We start from the raw sequence: 23,156 nt of genomic DNA on the forward strand, positions 1-23,156 counted from the left end.
ATTTAAAAATAACTAAAGGAGTATAATTGGATTGTTTATAACTCAAAGTATAAATGCTGAGGAGATAGATTCCCCATTTAGCATATTGTGATTATTATGCATTGCAAGCCTGTATCAAAATATAATATGTGTCCCATAAATATATACACCTACTATGCACCCATAAGAAAAAAAAATAAGACTTAAGTTTATGAGCTAAAGCAATAAAGCTATTCATTTCAAAATTTGAAAAACAAAATTTAAGTGACCCAAGATGTCTGCTGATTTGACATACAGATAACAAAAACTTGGCCTATAAACTAAAGCTTGTTAACAAAAGACCACGAGATCTATGGAGAAAAAAGACAGCTTTATCTTCTTAAAAAAAATCAATCTTCAGATTAGGGAGATGCAGCCTTCTGTAAAACAGAAGTGCACTCCCAAGCTGGGTGGCAGAGAGTTAGAAATTATAAAGGCAAACTGCAGTGCAAAGAACTGTAGTCAGGGCAGTGAGGAACAGTCTTGATGGGAAAACTTAAACCCCAAATCACCAGCCTCTCTTAGTTGGCTGGTTCCAGGTGGTTGGTGGGTTGGCATCAGGTGGTCTTTAATGGTCAGTTGAAGAATTCCCAGCTGCAATTGTTTTTCAGGAACTATTCCTTGACTTGGTTGCAGAAAAACAAATTTTGCAATACTTTCTAAGGACAGAGAGTGTGACTACACCCCTCACCCTGCCATGGACTCTTGGGTCTCCTTTTACTTTTGAGCCACAGGAAGTTTATCTTGTCTGTTAACTGAGAGTATAATTTGGCAAGTTGGAACTCCCTGCTGCAGGGCTGGAGGCTGTCAAACATTTCATTGACACGTACTGATTACAACCTTGTCCATCAGATAAAACAGGATATAATCAATCATCTCCCTCCAGAGACTAGGACACCTATATGCTCATTAACCCTATATACAGTGGTAACTACATATTTGCTTTATCTTTTGTATAAAGTCTCTGAACACCAATCAAAATAGAAAGAATGTCACCTTTGTTTCACTGCTCCCCTTCTCCTATTTTCTGTGTAATAGAACTGTGCCTTGTATAGCCCACTCGAGGACATATTCTCAGTTTGGGGTAAGTTTGTGTTTCCCAGGCTATTAATCCTTGAAATTGGCTTAGAATAAAATTAACTTAAAATTTCTTTAAGGTGTAATGTCTGTTATTTAACCTTTTAGTTGACACAATGTCCAATACACAATGTGAAATACACACACACACACAAACTAGAAATAAAGAATTATTTTTGACCAGTTTATATTTAGCACTACCAAATAGAATTCAAATTATTCATTTTAAGTGACTGTCATTTAGAAAACTCAATTTGATTCAGTTTTCACAAAACATAAAAGTGATAATAATGTTTGAGATTTCTGTATTTGAGAGATACAAATACAATTAAAATATGGTGCCTTTCCTTAGGAAATTAAATCTAGAGAAAAAGGACTGACCTATAAACTAACATTATCACATCTGAAGATCCTAAATTCCATGATAATGCTGGGGTGATTTTAGGAGAATTACTCAAGAAAAAAGTTTGATTAATATCACATTCTGTAAAAGTATGACAAGAGCTAGAGAATAGACAAATATAAATTTAAATATGAATAAGACATATTTTACACATATCTGTCTCTTAACAGGGTTCCTTGTCTATTTTTGCCCCTTCATTCAAAGAATATAAATAACTTTATCCAATAAACAATATACCTAAAATTTGAAAGTAGCTAAAAATACAATTCTTTCTCTTCAAAACCATAAAAGAACATGAAGGCTTTTAATTGTTTTGTAATCTAACCAGCCTAAATCAATGTCATTTAGGTCATTCATGAAGGAGCGAAGGAATCAATAGAGATGAAACAGTAATTAAAGAAATTATGAAAAAAAACCATAGGCTGAAGAAATATAAATTTTGTAATTAAAAGGACTAAGAAAAGCAAGCAAAAGTATAGAGACTAAATGTAAATGACCAGTGAACATAAGAAATAATACTAAACTGAATAGAGGAAATGATTGATTTGTGGCTCACTAAACAAGACAGAATTGGTCATGAAGAACTGAACACTGAATGTCACTGTAAATATTCAAAAGACTGGCTGTAGAAAGTTAGGAAGCTTCTTGATATAAAATATCCGAATATCTTTATGAAAATACATTCTGCTGACAATTACATTAATACATTTTCTAAGGTGATACCTGATGAAAGCTGCAAACCAAAAATAAAATTCTAAGCCCGCTTCGACCCTAACCATCTGAATGGACTCCTTCCTCTCAGCCAGGGCACTCCAGAGTTAACCTAAAAGACTGGTTCAGGCCATGATGGAAAGCAGGGGGTGGTCAGACATGCCTCATTATACCTCCTCCCTTTTGGAATGCAGGGAAAGCTGGCCAGCATTTAACATCAACACAGACCTTAAGTCTGATAAGAAATATTTACAATCTATTCTCTCTGAAGCCTGCTACCTGGAGAATTCATCTACATGATAAAACTTTGGTCGCTATAACCTCTTATTATAAACCAGACATTCCTTTCTACTGATAATAACTCTTTCAACCAATTGCCAATCAGAAAATTTTTAAATCTACCTATGTCCTGGAACCCACCACTCCCAGCTTTGAGTTGTCCCACCTTTCTAGACCAAGCCAATGTATATCTTAATTGTATTTGATTGGTGCCTCATGTCTCCCTAAAATGTATAAAACCAAGCTGTACCCTGACCACCTTGGGCACATATTCTTAGGGTCTCCTGAGGACTGTGTCATGGGCCATGGGTACTCGTATTTGGCTCAGAATACATTTCTTCAAATATTTTACAGCAGGGGGCCCCGATCTTTTTGGCACCAGAGACCAGTTTGGTGGAAGAAAATTTTTCCACAGATGGGGTGGGAGAATTATTTTCAGATGATTCAAGTGCATTCCATTTACGATGCACTTTATTTCTATTATTGTTACATTGTAAGTAATAATGAAATAATTATACAACTCCCCATAATGTAGAATCAGTGGGAGACCTAAGCTTGTTTTCCTGCAACCAGACAGTTCCATCTGGTGGCGATGGGAGACAGTGACAGATCATCAGTCATTAGATTCTCATAAGGAGCTCACAACCAAGATCTCTTGCATGCACAGTTCACAATAGAGTTTGCACTCCTATGAGAATCTAATGCTGCTGCTGATCTGACAGGAGGTAGAGCTCAAGTGGTAATGTAAGCAAAGGGGAGTGGCTATAAATACAAATGAAACTTCATTTGCTCACTCACCACTCACCTCTTGCTGTGGTTACTAACAGGCCACGGCATTAGTCTGTGGCCAGGGTTATGGGGATCCCTGTTTTACAGATTGTCACTCTTTTTGCCAACTAAACCTTAGTCCTAAACTTGAAGAAACAGTTCTGTACTGGTGCTGTGTTTTAGAAGAACATTAACCATGACTGAGGAAGAAAAGCTACAGGTTTTAAGGACACTAAGCACTGGTTGGCTTTTTTGTGTGTGTAGCAATGGTACAGGATAAACTGGACAGTAATTACAAAAAGCCAATGCACACAGTGTATGAAGTATACAGCAATTTGTCTATCCATCACTAAGCAGACAATAAAGTAGGGATAATCAGAGTATTTCTAGACTAGTTGAAAGACCACTTTGTACCAGGGACATGAGGTCATTATAGGCAATCTGGACTAGAACAAAAACTGTAAAATTTATTCTTCTCAGACAACTGCCCTTTATATCCTCTCCTGGTCCTCTTGTAAAAAGTAACATTTTCAGTATTTGTTACCCCACCCCCCGCCACATACACACACACAATGTAACATCCGTGACAAAGACATATGGCCATGAAATTTTATATTCTATTAATAAAAGTATAAAGTTTTCTTTAACTGTGGGCTAGCTGTAGTTAACAGAGGTCCAAGAATCCAAGATCTGAATGAGTTCAGTTTTAATGACGCCATTTACTCTGTTGCTAATACTTGGACCCATGCTGATTTGACATGATCCTTGAAAAAGTCATTTAAAAGGCCAACTATCAAAGTATTAACTCATTACTCAGTAATTCTGCTTCCATCCCATCATAAGTTGCTCAAATCCCATCTGACAACAAAGATAGCAAAACTGATGTGTCCTCTTGCCCAATGTCCTTAAGCAACCTAAGGTACGATTTAAGTCATTGTGTTTATATACAGGTCTGATATGATTTGGCTCTGTCCCCACCCAAATCTCATCTCGAATTGTAACCTCCATAATCCTCACATGTTGAGAGAGGAACTTGGTGGGAGGTGACTGGATCATGGGGTGGTTTCTTCCATGCTGTTCTCATGATAATGAGGGAGTTATCAGGAGATGTGATGGTTTTATAAGGGGCTCTCCCCCTTTCACTCCTCACTCTTCTCTCTCCTGACACCATGTGAAGGTCCTTGCTTCCCCTTTGCTTTCTGCCACAACTGCATGTTTCCTGAGGCCTCCCCAGCTATGTGGAACTGTGAGTCAATTAAACCTCTTTCCTTTATAAATTACCCAGTCTCAGGTAGTATGTGTATAGCAGTGAGAATGGACTAATACAAGGTCTTTAACTTAGTTCAAATCTGTATGTGTTTAAAAGTATATTGAATATTTTTCTTAGAACTAAGAAGGATCTGAATATTTTTGGTCTTTAATTATCCAATTATTTCACTTGTCAGTTTATTTCTATATAAACTGTAATATTAAAATTATACATATTTGTCAAATTTAGTATAAATCTACATATATTTGTTTGCAAATATGTTTATGTATTTGATTATAGAATGCCGTGCTAGATAGACTTCATTGGGGATATTCTGTGTTATCATTTTAAAAATCAGAAAAAATCTGAATTCCAAAAGTCTACCTCCAAGGCTTTCAGATAGGTGATTAAGAACTGTATCCATACCAGGATTATTATGAAGTTTTCAAAACAGAATACATCTTAAGGCGAAAATATTAAATTGCAAAATTATATTGATGAGAAGCATTTCTGGATAGCTGTTAATCTTATTTATGTTCTTTGTATGTGATGAGTGAGAAGCATTTCTGGATAGCTGTTAATCTTATTTATGTTCTTTGTATGTGATGAGTCATTATCTCTTGCTGCTTTCCAGATTTTCTCTTTGCAGTTAGCTTCCAGCATTTTTCCTATGAAACGTCTGAGAGTGGATTTCTTCTGTATTTATCCTAATTGGAGTTCACTGAGCTTCTTAGGTGTGAAGATTAATTTTTTTTTAGTGTTTGTGAAGTTTTTTGCCATTATCTCCTTGAATATTTTTTATACTCCTTTCTCTTTCTCTTCTCTTCTAACACTCCCATTACATGAAAGTTGGTGTGCTTAAGGGTTACCATATTTCTCTAAGGGTTCTATTCATTTTTTTCATTTTGTTTCTTCTCTTTTCTTTGGATGCACTCAACTCTATTATTGTATCTTCAAGTACACTGATTATTTAGCCTGCCAGCTCAAATCTATGATTGAGACCCTCTAATAAATTTCAACTCCAGAATTTCCATTTATTTCATGGAATATAGTTCATTTATATAGTTATATGTCACTTAATGATGGAGATATGTTCTGAGAAATGAGTTGTAAGGCGATTTTGCCATTGTGCAAACATCAAAGAGTCTACTTACACAAACCTGGATAGTAGCACCTACTACACACCTAGGCTTTATGGTTTGCCATGATAGTCTTATGGGACCACTGTCATATATGCAATCATCTTTGACTGAAATACTATGAAGTACATGACTGCGTGTGTGTATATACATATGTATATACATGTATATATGTATATATATGTGTATATATGTATATATGTGTATATATACACACACAGTCATGTGCTGCATATATATGTGCTGTATATATATATACACACACACACATATATAATTATGCATGTGTGTAAAATTTCAATCTTTTCTCTTTACTGACATTCTCCATTTGAGACATTCTGTTCATATCTTCCTTTACCTCTTTAAACATGGTTTCATTTAGTTCTCTGGACGTATTTGTAATGGCTATTTCAAAGTCTTTAATAAATCTGACATCTGCTCCTCTTTCCAGGCAGTTTTTGCAGCTTTTTTCCCCCTCCTGTATATGAGTCACACTTTCTCGCTTCTTTAGATGTCTTAAAATTTTTTGTTGGAAATTGGTTATTTTAGGGAATATATTGTAGCAATTCTGGGTACAGATTTGCTTCCTCCCTCTTCTGAGCTTGTTTTTGATATTGTTTGCTTATTTTGTGACTTGGCTAGGATATTTTAGTAAATTATATTTGTTCCACTCTGTGAAGCTTTTGATGCCACTCTTCAGAGGGTACAGCCTTGGGCATTCACACCGTCACCCTGGGATGACAGTGAATTTGGCAAGGCTCTCTTTGTCTTTTTCTCTACTCTCTCTGTTAAACTGTGTGCCTCATTCTGTGTTACATGCCAGCCCATTAGCCTCCAGTAATTATCAACTAATTACTCTATTGTTTTAAAAAATGCTCTAGAGTATAAATTGCTCAGCAGTCTGATCCAATTAAATTCAGGCAGAGACAGTTTTAAGGGCTCTTCTTACTTGTCCCTTGTTCTGGTTCTCGCTGGTGAACTAGATGTCCTGAAGTTCAGCTTGTTGCTCTTAATTTAGAGAAGAAATTATTTTCAAGAGCAGCATTAGGCTTGAACCTTATGTTTCAAATAAAGTTAGTTTCTTTGGGGAGGATTTCAGAGTTTTTTCTTACAGACTGCCTTTTCCCCTGGGCAGTCTCCAAGCCACTATTCTAGGAGCTGAGCAGAGCAGTAGCTTCCAGTCTTCTTGGCTTGCCTCTTCTCTTGTGAAACCTCTCCCCTATAATAAGTTGCAACGAGGGAAATTAGGGTATCAATATTCTTGTCTTGCTGAACCTAATATAAAGCCTCTTTCTTATGCATGAAGAAGACTGGGTGAAGTAAGGGAGCCCCCAGCCTCTCAGCCACAATCACCAGGAAATTAGTCTTTTAAATTTGAGTTGAAGGGGATTAGAAATGCTGGCAGACTGCCCCTACTAATAAGATACAGTAACCCTTGATTGGAAGCTTAGGGGAGAGGGAGTCCCATCATCTTGGCCACATCTGCACAAAGTTCAGCTTACCTTATGTTGCACTTGAGGGGAAGATGGCATGAGTCATGACTCAAGTGGAAATCTCTGTAATAGTTCATTGTTTAAGAGTTATTTTGATGCCAGCCTTCAGGATTTTTTTCCCATTTTACTACATTCACTTTTGTCCAAATCAACATTTGGCCTAACTTCTCATATAGAATACCTTGCCTTCAAGTAAATTTATTCCAAATTACTTCAGATAAAATCATACGCTTTCTGGACTAGAAGCTTGACTGAGTGCTTTGTGCTATATTATGCTTCTTTCTATTAATATACCACTCCACGTTAACACATGCTCAACTGTTGATGCACTGTCATTTATAAAAGTCTTTCAGATGAGTTCTAAAAATAAATATAAGAGAAAATTAAATTTTAAACTGGAAAAAATAGGTAAGAACAAAATAGGGTAAGAAAGTGAGATATAGTGAGATGAACATACAAAATCTATGCCACAAATTCATATATACTCACTTGCTAAAGGTATAGTATACATTCATCTTAAAATAATGCTGAAAGCCACAATTTACTGCTTAAAAACAAACTAGTTGCAGGGGAAAAAGTTATTCCCGGTAAAGTTATAAGACAATTTTTCTAAAGCCATCATAAAGAAGATAGGATATAATGTAATGAATAACCTCCTGAATGTAAAAATAATAAACAGTTTCATGGGGCAGTCTTTTACACTCAATATAAATATATGACATTACAACAAACATTGATAGATTTTGTGTGACACCAATAAAATGTAGCCCTGGCATTCAGCTTTCTAATAGTCTGGCTGCTACAGAAACAAGCTTTTTGTGCGTCTTTTAAGAAGTGGTTCTATCATGGGCAATACTACCTTCTAGGTAACATCTAGAAATGCATGGATGTGCTTCTGTTTGTCATAATGTCTAGGGTTCTGATAACGGACATTCAGTGCCCAGGGTCCAGGGTTGCTAAATATATTCCTCAATTCCGAGAGAGTACCTCATAAGTAAGAACTGTTGTTCTCAAGATAACAGTATCACAACCTCTCCTGCCTTGAGAAATACTGATCTAGAATTTTGAATTTCAAGCTATGCTCCACAGAAATGACTCATAAGCTATCATATGTGTGAGATGTGTGAGTCTGCATATCATGTGTGTGTGTGTGTGTGTATATATATATCTGTGTGTGTTAGTGTTTGGGAAGTAAGAGGGGGTGCGTCTGCCTCCCTAGACTGACCAGAGCAGCTCCATTTTTACCTGTTTTGTATATTAGACATCCGAATAAGAAAGACATAGTTTAAACAAGAAGGAAAAATATAAATTTATTCATCAGAATCCCAGGGTGGCTTAGAAAAAGGAATCTTAGAAGAAGCAGCTATGGGAGAGAAGCAGAAGCACATCCATGCATTTATGTTGCCTAGCAGGTGGCACTGCCCCTGATAGTTAGAATCACTTCTTAAAACACATAAAAATATTATTTCTGCAGCAGCCAAACCATTAGAGTGCTGAATTCCAGGGCAGTATTTTATTGATATCACATAAAACATTGTCAGGGGTTGGAGGTTAAGTGGGAGGCTGCAGAAGATAGAGATGTGGTAGGGTGGAAATGGAAGACAGAATGAGAGAAGAAAGGACATGGCAGAAATAAAGTTCTTACAATGAAATCACCTTTTCCCCTATATCTTTAGAAAAATAAACTCACAAAAGGCTTGGCTGTTGTATTAATTATCTAATTTGTATAACAAATCACTCCAAAACTCACTGCCATTTATTATCTCTCACAGTTCCTCTGGGTTAGGAATTTGTTAGTGGCATGGCTGGGTATAACTGGCTCATGGTTTCTCATGAAGTTGCAGTCAAATGGCAGCTGCAGGTTCAGTCAGTCAGTCAGCTAGTCATCTAAGTTCAGTCAGTCCTGTCCTCTAAAGAGTTGACTAGGATTGTAGGATCCACTTCCAGGGTGGTTTGTTCACTACACGGCTGTCAAGTAAACACTGGCTGTTGTAGCAGGCCTCAGTTCCTCTTCATGTGGACGTCTCCTCAGAGCTTCCTGTGTGCTCTCATGGAGGCTGGCTTCCCCCAGAGAGAACAATCCAAGAAACCAAGATGAAAGCTTAAATGCCTTTATACCTAGCCTTGCAAAGCCTGTATCATTACTTTACTGCCACCACATTTTATTGGTCATACAGAAGGGCCATGATTCAATGTGAGTAGGAGCTACAAAAGGGTGTGAATGTCAAGAGGCAAAGATTATTGGGAGCATCTTAGAGGCTGGCTACCACAGCCATAGTACTTTTTATATGCTTGTTTGTGTATCTGTCTGTATGTTAGTGGAAGTGAACAAATCCAGGAGCAGAAGTAGACACAGAGTTAATTCTTTGTATTTACTGTTGAATTCAATTTTCTAATATTTTGTTGAGGCTATTTGGATATATTTTCATGAGAGAGACTGGTCTGTAGTTTTCTTTTCTTATAATGTCCTTGTCTTATTTTGGCATTAGGGTAATGCTGGCCTGAAAGAATGAGTTAGGAAGTATTTCCTCTGCTTCTATCTTCTGAAAGAAACTTGCAGATAATTGATATAATTTCTTCCTTAAATGTTTGGTAAAATTCACCAGTGAACCTATCTGGGCCTGGTACTTTCTGTTTTGGAAGGCTATTAATTATTGATTCCATTTCTTTAATAGTTATAGGTCTATTCAGATTATCTATTTTCTCCTTTGTGAGTTTTGGCAGTGGTTATTGTTTTTAATTGAAATTCCTTTAAGGCATTAGACCAGTTGACACATAACCTGAAGTCTATGTGTTCAATCAGAAACATACCTCAAATGTAAGAGACAGGTGGGGCTGTGTGCTTTCCTGTTTGGCAAAATATCTATTATATTTTTGTATCAATGTAATAGAGTTCAAATATAATAAATCATGGCTACTTCTTGGCTAGTACATTGATCACAAGTTGTTTATATTTGGGGGCCTACTGAGATTATTATCCATGGGTACCATTATGTTTAAATTAGACTCTAAATGAGTATCCTGAAAATCTCAAAATCTGTATAGACTGTTAGCTATTAGCAAAGCATTACTTCTGTTTACACAACTCTCCCTATATACATTATCATCTATACTCCTAGGGACTGCTATATCTCTTGGTACCACTAGCTTCCTATCCAATATTCACTCTTCCATTGTTTTATTAAAGCAACCCTAATTTTGTTTGGAGCAGCAAAGTCTCTGGCTAAAAAACATTTCTCCTGAAGCTTTCTTTGCAACTATGAGTTCTAGCTAAAGCTTAGTAGGGGATGTTGGTAAAGTTTACTTTCATGATAGAGGCACAGTACCTTCTTCCTTGTCCCTTCCCAATTTCTTTTACCTCCCTGGATGATAGACATAAGAATGGTGATAGAGCAGTCACCTTGCTATCAAGAGATGACCAGGAAGATGAAAACCACATACAAAGATGATGGGACACAAAGACAGAAGCCTGGAACATTTATGGCATTAGAGATGAACCACAGTCAAGTTGTTGGAGACGAGTTTCTGTTATATTCCATCAAATACAATCCTAGGATATCTCACACCTTCCTGAAAACCCTAGTTCAAACCTATTTCTTCAGTAAGCCTTCTGGGATGTAATAATAATAACTCTTGCATGGGACTTTATTGTTTGCAAAGTACTTTCACATACTTTATATCTTTCGATATTCACATCAGTCCTGTGGCCAGAATACCCTTCTCTTCATATTCTCACCTCTCTGGAGTTGATGCCATCCATCCCTATACTGTAAACCACACTGTAGAACAATGACTCCCAAGCAGCTGCCTCCAATCTTGACCTCTCTTGAGCTCTAGATTTGTTTTCCAACTGAATTCTGGGCACCCAGCTCAAAGACGAGTACTTGAAACATCTAAACTGTGTATAACTTAACCTGTTATTTTCTCATTTCAGGTCCCTAAACACTGCTCTTAATCCAGTATTATTTTAATAAATCTCAGTTAATATAATCACTCAAACTGACAAGCTAGAAATTTCAGAGTTATCCTCAATTCCATGCTCTCTATAACTTCCCAAAACAATCAGGAATCAAATCCTAGATCACGGCCACTGCCATGAGATTAGGTTCTCATCATTTTTCTGGTGGACTACTGTTAAGATCATTTAACTGGCCTTCTGCAGAAAGGCATCCTAAAAGATAAATCAACTATTTTTATTTATTCATTCACCAAATAGTTAAATGACTAGTCTTCTGCAGAAAGGAACTCTAAAAAAGAAATCAATTATCTTTTATTTATTCATTCACCAGATAGGTATAGAGCACCTGCTACATAATAAATATTATAATGTTAAAAATATGGTTTCAACAAAAAAACTTGCCATGTTATAGTAAGAAGCTAGTAATCCTAAAGTCGATATAGATTTAGCAAGTGATTTATTATATTACTGTTGAAAACGCAATGAAAGTAATAGGAATAAAATAATTTACTAAGGTGGTATATTTTTTAAAGAGATTTGTTTTCTTTGGTATTGTAATGAATCAGCAGGAAACATTTTAAAGAAATGAATTCATTTGGTTTTATGGAAATATAAGCAAAAATAAAAAGTGTGATATATAGTTTAGAACATTAATTTCTAAAATACATTCTGTAAAATACTGCTTCTTGGGATGAAACTACCTCGAAAAGCTTTCTGTTGTGAAATGTTTGAGAAACCACTGGATTAGACAAAAATAAGTAGGTTTGCATATACTAAGATTTCTCAGTGTTAATATTCTCATATATACTCTACATCTCTCTGAGTAGCAGTGTGACATGTAGTACTTTAAAATTTATTGACTAAAGAAATCTTTAGAACATCATCTCCTAGAACTACATACAGGACACATTTTGGAAAATGTTAAGCATTTGTGAGCAGACACTTTACCAGGAGCTCTGGATGGACAATGAACTTCAAGACAGGAACATTTATCAAATTTATCATAACAATGAATGATTCTGATAATGAATCAGACGTTCAGCAAGAATATAGCACTACTCATTAAGATCATAAGGGTCCATGCAGAATAGGTCTTAGTGAAATAAAAATCTGCTACCTTCAATCAAGTATGTATGTGGATTACCCAAACCAAGAATGTTTATACTTTAAAGAGAAATGTTTCAGCTCATGAAATGGCTCCAGCAGTCTGCCTGGGTGCTTGGCAGTTCATCTGCAACCTGGCACAGACCCAGATTTCTTTTTTTAGTTTTACTATTAATTCTTCATGTATTTTTTTAAAGTTCCAATAAAAATGAGGTTGAAACTGTATACTTTAAAAGACAATTTCTGAAAAACAGATAATATTAAAATTATATCAAGACTTTGGAAAGGTAACATGCATTAGAGAATATAAGATTTAGACTCTAACCTGAGGAAGCAAATTATTTGACCAACCAAATGATAGAATTTGTTCAGACATACTGTTAAGATGGTAAGGTAAATAAGAGACTCTTACTACAGTCTTATCCCCTCCTAGAAATTTTTCTAATAGACAACTTGGATATTTTTCTCAAGATTAACGGCTTTTAAAAATTGTTTTATTACACATCTCCAATATACCCCCCTCTCTCTTTCACACACACACACACACACACACACACACACAGAGCGCCAAATTTTTGAACCTTCTCTTTTGAAGTCCAAGAGTCTTCATACTAAATAAATAATAAATAAATAAAAATCAAAAAGGTGCAATTTCACCAACCACAGAGGATGTGTGAAGACTGGTCTTCTGAATTCAAGGTTGCCCCAGGATAAGCGAGTCCAGGGGAGATTAAATGAATTTCCCTATTCATAGCAATAAGAAAGTTCCCACCTCCTTTATTCTCCCCAACAAAAAAGCTTCCCCTATCAAACGACCTGGTGGCTTTTCCAGGATGGACTGCTTAGACTCTTAGGAGGGGCCCAGATAGCAGGCCCAGCCTGGGGTTGCGAGTAGTGTTTCTTCTAACAAAGCTATGGCACCCTGAGAAAGGAGGCTCAGTATTCCCCTGTGAGGATCTTTGTGGGTCTTTCAGTTGCCCTAGGATGGTGAATATGACAATAACCTGAGCTCCCAAATCATCTGAAGCAGGACCTCTTAATCACTCACCGCTGCGCTCTGAGCCGCTGGGAACCAAGGCTGGTTGCTAAGGACGCTGTGGGAGTCGCTCTGAGACAGACGTTGCTCTTTTACGGTCTCGTGACCAGGGCTTAGCCAATCAGGACTTATAAGTGAATTTCCACCTGCCCTGTCCCGTCTCCACCACATTTGTGTTCAATTTCTAAAGAATAAATGCAATGTTGTGTGAAAGACCTTTATTCGTTTTTAAAGAACATAGTAATGATTTGTTTCGAATATTGTACATACTTGCATATCCTGCAAGAAGCCACGGCAAGAAGCGGCTTCACAGTGCTTTAATGTCTCCTCAGTGTCTTAATGCTGCTTCCCCAAAACAAACCAGCACGCCTATCATACCAAAAGTAGCTATGTCTTTAAATTAAATTGCCGTTCGTAAGTTCCTTTTACATAGAAAATTTGGAGCAGTCAGTGTCCTCAGCACCCGTCAGTGAGTAAACAAAGCACCTAGAATGTTCTGCTATGTACTAAACACCAGAGGGCGAATTTAAACACAAAAGAACGCCTCTTTTTAAAGGTAGTATGCAATAGAATTATCTAATATAAGTCCTTTAAAAATCCTTGTAGAATTCCTATGTCTACTAACGAGCAACTGTATATATTTTACAAAGGTTCACCAGTGTAAAATACTATATGGAAGAATGGGGAAGGGCATTTATGATTAAATTCATACGTAGGCCGGGCGCAGTGGCTCATGCCTGTTATCCCAGCACTTTGGGAGGCCAAGGTGGGCGGATCACGAGGTCAGGAGTTCGAGACCATCCTGGCTAACATGGTGAAACCCGTCTCTACTAAAAATACAAAAGTTAGCCAGGCGTGGTGGCACCCACCTATAATCCCAGCTACTCAGGAGGCTGAGGCAGGAGAATTGCTTGAACCCAGGAGATGGAGGTTGCAGTGAGCCGAGATCATGCCACTGCACCCCAGCCTGGGAAACAGAGCGAGATTCCATCTAAAGAAAAAAAAAATACTAAAACGTAATATACAGGGATTGTCCTGTGAAATGACCTGCCTTTAAAAATTAGAACTTTGAAAGAAAATTTAACTTGAACTACTTCGATTCGGAATTAAGTTTTTTTGTTTTTTGAGTGCATTTTTATGTTTAAAACAGAAATTACAATATGTGATCTCAGGCTTCTCTGACGTATCACTCCTAGAAGATCAGTAAGTTAAAGGTAATAATGAAAAGTGAAATTGACAAAGACTATAAACTACATATGTGAGAGAACAAATCCTAGAATATCAACAGTGCTTACCATAATCCAGATAAAATAAAAATGAAAAGACTGTGGTATTTAATAATAGCCTGGGGGCTTGCTTGTTTTAATTTCAAGAGATCTAGAAAAGTGTTAAAAGCATAAAAAAATACAAACTGTTAACCAGGTTATTCATAATCAAATGAAGATTGAATTAAAAAGGAATAAAAGGAAGGCCGAATAAAAAATTCTTCTCCATAATATAAGAATCAGTTGAAACTATAGCATGTTTAGAGAAAAAAAGTCACCCCATCGATTCTACAGTGAAGACAACAGAACAAGTTTATATAAGGAAGAATTCACAAATACATATATATATATATTACACATATCTACTTATTCTAAATATATCTACTGATTTTATATATGTATCTACTGATTTTATTTATATATATATCAGTAGAATGAAAGATTACAGAAAAAGCATAAAATTTATATATGATAAATTTGCCATTTTAACTCAGTGGGGAAAAACTGTACAGAGGCTGAGCACAATTTGAAAGAAAATAAATCTGAACTACTATCTCATACCATAGCAACAATAAATCTCAGAGGAATGAAGCTTAAAACAGGAAATAATTTTAAATAATTTTAAGATAATATTGGTATAACCTTAGAGTCACAATAATATTAAGCTAATAGGAGACCCACAATGATTTTAAAAAATGACAAGAATATTTAGAAAATTTATGTAAGAAAAATAAATCTAATAAAGTCATACCTCCCCTTTCTCCCTTTAATTAGTCATCTACATTGAAGTTTTGACAAGACAAATCTAATTTTTTCAAATTATTATATATATACCTATATATATATAATCCTAAAATGGCCATTAATTAGCAATTAGGAAAATAAGCATGTCAAAACCATCCTAACCCCTTAGTATGGCACAATTATGCTTTCAGAAACTATATCATTGCCTACTTGCCCAGTTTTTTTCTGCTTTTTTTTTTTTTACCAGTCTTTTTTATTTTATTTTATTATTATTTTTTGAGATGAAGTCTCGCTTTTGTCCCCCAGGCTGGAGTGCAATGGAGCGATCTCAGCTCATTGCAACCTCCACCTCCTGGGTTCAAGCGATTCTCCTGCCTCAGCCTCCCGAGTACCTGGGATTACAGGCGCCTGCCACCACGCCTGGGTAATTTTTGTATTTTTGGTAGAGACAGGGTTTCACCATGTTGGCCAGGCTGATCTCGAACTCCTGACCTCAGGTAATCCACCCACCTTGGCATCCCAAAGTGCTGGGATTAAAGGCGTGAGCCACCGTGCCTGGCCCAGTCTTCTTTATTTTTAAAACTTTTTCCACTGCTATGTAATCAATTAAAAAATATTTTAAGTTTCCTAAACATATCATGAGCTCTCGTTTCTTAATAACCTCATGCATGCTCTTCCTCTGTCTGAAAATATACTTGCCCACTCACTCCTCAACTGCTGCCACAAACTCACACAAACGCATACCACCCCCTGCTCCCTAATAACCACACACCAGGTAAATGCTTACTCTTGATCAAGACTCGGATGTTAGACATTTGTCAACATTTTGGATCTGGAGAATCCAATCACCCTTCCATGCTACCTGGGGAATTCTTCATGTAATATGAATGGGAAGTGGTGTTTCATCATCCACTACAAAAGCCAAAAACGGCAGATTATATTTTCTCAGAACTCTGTGTTGGAATATGACAGAAGTTTGGCCAAGTATGTGTTCTAGTTTAAGAATTTGAATTTTTAGCAGATAATATCAAGATGAAAGTAGCAATAACTGTGCCTTGGGCCATGATAGCAGCACCCTTACAGATTTTCCTGCCAAAAGACAGTTGTGGTACCTCCTGCTTCTTGGTCCTCTAGAACAGCATTTTTTTTTCCTGTCCATTTCAATCCTTGACTTACAGCCTTCCATCAATTCTATAAACCCTGATTATCCTGTCAAATCTTCTGTTTAAAGTAACAAATTGAGTTTCTGTTATCTTCAACCAAAGTGACACATTCACCTGGGAAGACACCTCATTTTAGAAGCCTTCCAACGCAATGACTGTTCTCTCAGGATAACTTAGAAGACATCCTTCAATGTTTCCTTAGCATTCTGAGTGCTCTTATATAGCACTTATCAAAATTTTACCTAGAGAAATCTACCTAGTGAGTACTCATTAAAAAGTCAGGAAAGAGATGAAACTATTAGTAAGTTACACAATTTAAAATATGCATTATATTTTCTTCAATCATATTTCTCAAACCTTAAGCTTCAGTCCTCCAGTTGCTTGGAATCAAGGCTATTAGCATCTTCACTGACACGATTCAAATTAGTCCATAATACTGCAATTACCTTCCTAGATTAGAATTGATTTTCCAGGGAAAACAATCTGACACCAAAAGTGAATCATAGGAAAAAACTATAGCCATGAAAAAATATTTATCAGTTTGAACTGTTGCATTAGAATTAATATTGATTTTGTAATTTAACAACTTTCTAGATGACAATTTCTTAACTATTTTTGATATTATGTGATATCAGTTTAGTTTTGCCATGGAGTGTATAACTTAATTGTAAATAATTTCTATTTGATACTGTATTAGTTTGTTTTCATGCTGCTGATAAGTACATACCCAAAACTGGGAACAAAATGAGGTTTAATTGGACTTACAGTTCCACATGGCTAGGGAGGCCTCAGAATCATGGCGGGAGGTGAAAGGCACTTCTTACATGGTGAAAGCAAGATAAAAATGAGGAGGAAGTAAAAGCAGAAACCCCTGATAAACCCATTAGATCTTGTGAGACTTATTCACCATCACGAGAATAGCACAGGAAAGACTGGCCCCCATGATTCAATTACCTCCCCCAGGTCCCTCCTACAATACACGGGAATTCTGGGAGATATAATTCAAGTTAAGATTTGGGTGGAGACACAGCCAAACCAGATCATTCTGCCCCTGGCCCCTCCAAATCTCATGTCCTCACATTTAAAAACCAATCACGCCTTCCCAACAGTACCCTAAAGTCTTAACTCATTTCAGCATTAACCGAAATGTCCACAGTCCAAAGTCTCATCTGCAACAAGCCAAGTCCCTTATGCCTATGAGCCTGTAAAATCAAAAGCAAGCTAGTTACTTCCTAGATACAAAGGGGGTTCAGGTATTGGGTAAATACAGCCATTCCAAATGGAAGAAATTGGCCAAAACAAAGGGGTTACAGGGCCCATGCAAGTCTGAAATCCACTGGGGCAGTCAAATTTTAAAGCTCCAAAATGATCTCCTTTGATGCCAGGTCTCACCTCCAGGTCATGGTCTTCGGCAGCTCCACCCCTGTGGCTGTGCAGGTTATAGCCTCCCTCCTGGCTGCTTTCATGGGCTAGCATTGAATGTCTGCAGCTTCTCCAGGTGCACAGTGCAAGCTGTTGGTGGACCTAACATTCTGGGGTCTGGAGGATGGTGGCCCTCTTCTCATAGCTCCAATAGTCAGTACCCCAGTAGGGACTCTGTGTGGGGGCTCTTGCCCCACCTTTCCCTTCCACACTGCCCTAGCAGGGGTTCTCCATGAGGGCCCCACCCCTGCAGCAGACTTTTGCCTGGGCACCCAGGTGTTTCCATACATCTTCGGAAATCTAGGCAGAGGTTGCCAAACCTCAATTCTTGACTTCTGTGCACCTGCAGGCTCAACACCACATGGAAGCTGCTAAGGCTTAGGGTTTCCACCCTCTGAAGCCACAGCCCAAGCTCTACACTGGCCCCTTTCAGCCATGGCCGGAGCAGCTGGGACACAGGACACCAAGTCCCTAGGCTGCACACAGCATGGGGACTCTGGGGCCAGCCCACAAAACCACTTTTTCCTCCTGGGCCTCTAGGCCTGTGATGGAAGGATGCCATGAAAGTCTCCAACATGGCCTGGAGACATTTTCCCCATGGTCTTGGGGATTAACATTAGGCTCCTTGCTTCCTATGCAAATTTCTGTGGCCAGCTTGAATTTCTCCTCAAAAAATAGGTTTTTCTTTTCTACTGCATCATCAGGCTGCAAATTTTCTGAACTTTTATGCTCTGTTTCCCTTTTAAAATTGAATGCTTTTAACAGCACCCAAGTCACCTTTTGAATGCCTCGCTGCTTAGAAATTTCTTCCACTAGATACTGTAAATCATCTCTCTCAAGTTCAAAGTTCCACAAATCTCTAGGGCAAAGGCAAAATGCCACTAGTCTCTTTGCTGAAATATAACAAGAGTCACCTTTGTCCCAATTCCGAAGAAGTTCCTCATATTCATCTGAGACCACCTCAGCCTGGACCTTATTATTCATATCATTATCAGCATTTTGTCAAAGCCACTGACAAGTCTCTAAGAGGTTCCAAACTTTCCCATATTTTCCTGTCTTCTTCTGAGCCCTCCAAACTATTCCAACTTCTGCCTATTACCCAGTTCCAAAGTCGCTTCCACATTTTTGGTTATCTTTTCAGCAACGTCCTACTCTATTGGTACCAACTCACTGTATTAGCGCATTTTCATGCTGCTGATAAAGACATACCCAAAACTGGGAACAAAAAGAGGTTTAATTGGACTTACAGTTCCACATGGCTGCAGAGGCCTCAGAATCATGGCAGGAGGTGAAAGGCACTTCTTACATGACAGTGGCAAGAGAAAAATGAGGAATAAGAAAAAGCGGAAACCCCTGATAAGCCCATCAGATTTTGTGAGACTTATTCACTATCAAGAGAATAGCATGGGAACGACCAGCTCCCATGATTCAATTACCTCCCCCTGGGTCCCTCCCACAACATGTGTGAATTCTGGGAGATACAATTCAAGTTGAGATTTGGGTGGGGACACAACGAACCATATCAGATACCTCTCTTCATGTTGCCAAATATTTAGAGTTCTCATTAGGATTTTTAAATGCTACTGGGAATAAATGGAACAGTATCTGAAATTTTTATTTGTCAAAAAGAGAAAGGAAAGCTAATCAAATGTAAAATAATAGCAGAGAAAACAGACAACATACAGAATGAGAGAAAATATTTGCAAACTGTGTACCTGACAAAAGTCTAATATCCAGTATCTACAAGGAACTTAAACAAATATATATGAAAACAACAAACAATTTCACTAAATAATAGGCAAAGGACATGAACAGAAACTTTTCAAAAGAAGACATACATGTGGCCAACATGTATATGAAAAAAAGCTCAACATCACTGATCATCAGCGAAATGCAAATCAAAAGCACAATGAGTTCCCATCTCATGCCAGTCAGAATGGCTATTATTAAAAAGTAAAAAATAATAATAATAATAACAACAGATGCTGGTGAGGTTTGCAGTGAAAAGGGAACAAACTCTTACATACCGTTGGGTGGGAGTGTAAATTAGTTCAACCACTGTGGACAGCAGTGCGTTGGTTCCTCAAAGAGCCAAAATCAGAACTACCACTTGACCCAGAAATCCCATTACTAGGTATATAACCAAAGGAATATAAATCATTCTACAATAAAGACACATGCACAGGTATGTTCATTGCACCACTATTCACAATAGCAAAGACACGGAATCAACCTAAATGCCCATCACTGCCCATAAATATGGTACATGTACACCATGGAATACTATGCAGCCATAAAAAAGAACAAGATCATGTCCTTTGCAGGAACATGGATGGAGCTGGAGGCCATTATCCTTAGCAAACTAACGCAGGAACAGAAAACAAAATACCGCATGTTCTCACTTATAAGTGGAAGCTAAATGATGAGAACACAGAGACACAAAGAGGGGACCAACAGACACTGGGGCCTACTTGAGGGTGAAGGGTGGGAGGAGAGAGAGGATCAGAAAAAAAACCTATTGGGTGCTAGGCTTAGTACCTGGGTGATGAAATAACCTGTACAACAAACCCCTGTGACATAAATTTAGCTACATAATAAACCTGCACATGTACCCTTGAACCTAAAATAAACTTTTTTAAAAAGTCAAATGATATTAAAATGGTCATTCAACTTATAAAAATCCAGTAGAGGTTAAAGAAGATAAAGCAAGATTTTAAGAAATTTATATTGCATTTACTCAGATTATTTCTTGTACCAATGGGTTAATTTTCACAGCATTTTTAAACTTACTAAAAGATAAAATTTCTCTTACACAGTTAGTTGACATGTTTGTGATGATAGTATTTAATCCTACAGTGGACACTTTAAAAATAAAATTCAATTAAAATTCTGCATAAGCATCATGTTAGTCACCTATCACCAAAATAATCTTAGTGGTTTAAAATACAAGTATTTATTTTTCTCATTCACTCCTCTGCGTGCAGGTTGGCTAGATTTTGGTGATGTTGGCTGGGTTCACCTGGGATTGTCCCCAGAATTCCAGCTGGGTTCAGGTCTGCTCCAAATATCTCCTTCTGGAGCCCAGAGTGAAGGGGTAGTGGTTATTCAGGAGGTGCTTCTCATGGTTATGGCAGAAGCCCAAGCGGGCAAGCCAACTGAGCAAAGCCTCTGTTTGGGTCACACCTGCTAACTAACACCTTTCTGCCCAAGGATATCACTCTACCAACTACCCAAAGGGCAGGAAAGTCCACTCTGCCCATCATGAGGCTATGACAAGGGTATGGACATACAGTATAATACTATGGTAGAGGGATGAAAAATTAAGTCCAATAATTCGGGAATCACCATCTTCTGAACATAAATGCTATAGCCTATCAAGTAGAAAAAGAATAAACTCGGCAATTAAGAAAATTTATACCCAATTCACAATTTAAAATATTCTTGGTTGCTTCCATTTACTGTGTGTGTCCCATTAAGTGTGTAGATGTTAAATATGCTTTGCCTAACTTCCCTAACAATGTAATCAGGATCAAATGCACCATAGTGGATTGTTATATCACATCATTTTACAAAAACAAAAGAAAACAAAAACACCTCTATTGTTTGAAAGATATTTTTAAAATTGCTTATTTCAAGTTATTTTACATGTAAAATATTTAAAATATTACTAAATTTCACCTTTTAAAATACTTACCAGGCAGGGCGCAGTGGCTCACTCCTGTAATCCCAGCACTTTGGGAGACCGAGGTGGGCAGATTGCTTGAGCCAGTTCAAGACCAGCCTTGGCAACACAGTGATGCCCTGTCTCTAAAAAAGATATAAATAAAATAGTGTATAGTTGCATCACAGTACCCAATACAGTGGTTTACACATAGTAGGTGCTTAATATATGTTGCTGAGTGAATTCTTGAATAAAAAATATAGGTGATTTTTATTTTATCCTGTGAGCTGAATTTATTTAGCATCAGAATTTTTGAGCAAAATGTTAACATAAATGAATGACTTGCTTGCTCTGCACAGGCACTTTTGTTTGGTAGGACCATAGCATTCTGTGCCAACTCTTGAAAACTGTTGAAACAATCTGCAACTTTTCATTTGTATTTCAACTCAACAATAATAATGACTGGACTTTCGAAAATATGTATTAAGCCCGTTGGGGGGTGGTTATACTATTTCTATCATATTATTTTCAAGGAAAATTAATCCTTTATTTACTAAGGAACAAAGTAAAAAACTATATTATTCTGTTAATATTTGGGCTAAAAATTTCCTTATTATTAGTTTTGGTGCCTAATAATATCCTCCACCCATTAATTGTTATATAGTGATTTAATATTTTAGTCATTTTAATGATATAAATGCTATTGTTTGATAATCCTCCCTTTAAAAGATAGAGTCAAATCCTCTTCCCCTTTAAGTGCAGGGTTGGACTTAGTGACTCTCTTCCAAAAAAATAGAACATGGCAGAAGTGATGAGGTGTAATTAGGTCATAAACGACATTGTGTTTCCCCCTTGCTGTCTGTCTCCCAGCTGTTAAGTCATAAGGACATTCAAGATGTTCTATGAACTTCATGTGGCAAGGAATTGAAACCTCATTAACAGCAATCAGCAAGAAATAAAGACATTCTTTCTATAGCTGTCTGAGTAAGAGATCTTAGAAGGGGATCCTCCAGCCCTAATCAAACTCAGTCATGTCTAAAATGACTGCATTCCAAGTAGAAGTCTTAACTAGAACCTCATGGGAAACCTAAGGCAGAACTATCCAGCGAAGCCACTCTGAAATTTTTAAATTACAGAAACTATGAGATATTAAATGTTGTTTTAAGCTGCCCAATTTGTTATGGGGGTAATTCATTGTGCCACAATAGAAACTAATACAAACATTCTGTTGTTTTCATAAAATGCATTGGCCACTTTATAAATTCATGTTTTAATTCCTGTGTTATGAGTTTCTCAAACTAGTTTGAAGCAATAAACTCTGGACGATTTCAGCATAATTATTTTAGAAATATTTTGGAGAAATACAGGATGATAGAGCTTTCATAGTGCTCTAGAGACTACTGATTAAATGATATGAACAGATTTAGTAATCTAGAAAGATCTTTATTGCTGTGTCTGCCCATAACCAAATTTGCTCTAATTTTTTTCTAAAATAATTTTTCTTCTTACAAAAAAAAGCTAAGTTTTTAGAGCAATTAAATAAAAAGTGAAACTATGCAAGCCCGTGCTCAGACATAATACTATCATTTTAGCACATTCTTCTATTGTGTATCTTTAGTAGAATTTTTAAAAGGTAAGTTCATACTGTACATGTTTTAAATTGAAC

General features: G+C 37.0%; 1 protein-coding gene across 20 annotated transcripts in view; it reads right to left on the minus strand.

The window, feature by feature from the left end:
* TMEM232 (transmembrane protein 232) overlaps positions 1-23,156 on the minus strand; it is a 351,524-nt gene that overhangs the window by 325,949 nt on the left and 2,419 nt on the right. For 16 of the 20 annotated variants that reach the window (XR_001742182.2, XR_001742181.2, XR_007058620.1 and 13 more), the window contains exons 2-4: positions 21,524-21,636; positions 13,248-13,419; positions 7,147-7,497 (exon numbers count right to left, since the gene is read on the minus strand). Coding sequence is in view for 2 of the 20 variants with exons in the window: in XM_011543555.3 (XP_011541857.1) it covers positions 7,147-7,214 (68 nt within the window). In the remaining 18 variants the exon portion in view is untranslated. Of the gene's footprint in view, positions 1-7,146; positions 7,498-12,212; positions 13,420-21,523; positions 21,637-23,156 lie in introns of those variants that run through there. The other 4 variants (XM_047417493.1, XM_006714670.4, XM_011543556.3 and 1 more) reach the window with 3 other exon arrangements.

The sequence above is a fragment of the Homo sapiens genome, chromosome 5, assembly GCF_000001405.40.
Source record: "Homo sapiens chromosome 5, GRCh38.p14 Primary Assembly".
Classification (NCBI taxonomy): domain Eukaryota; kingdom Metazoa; phylum Chordata; class Mammalia; order Primates; family Hominidae; genus Homo; species Homo sapiens.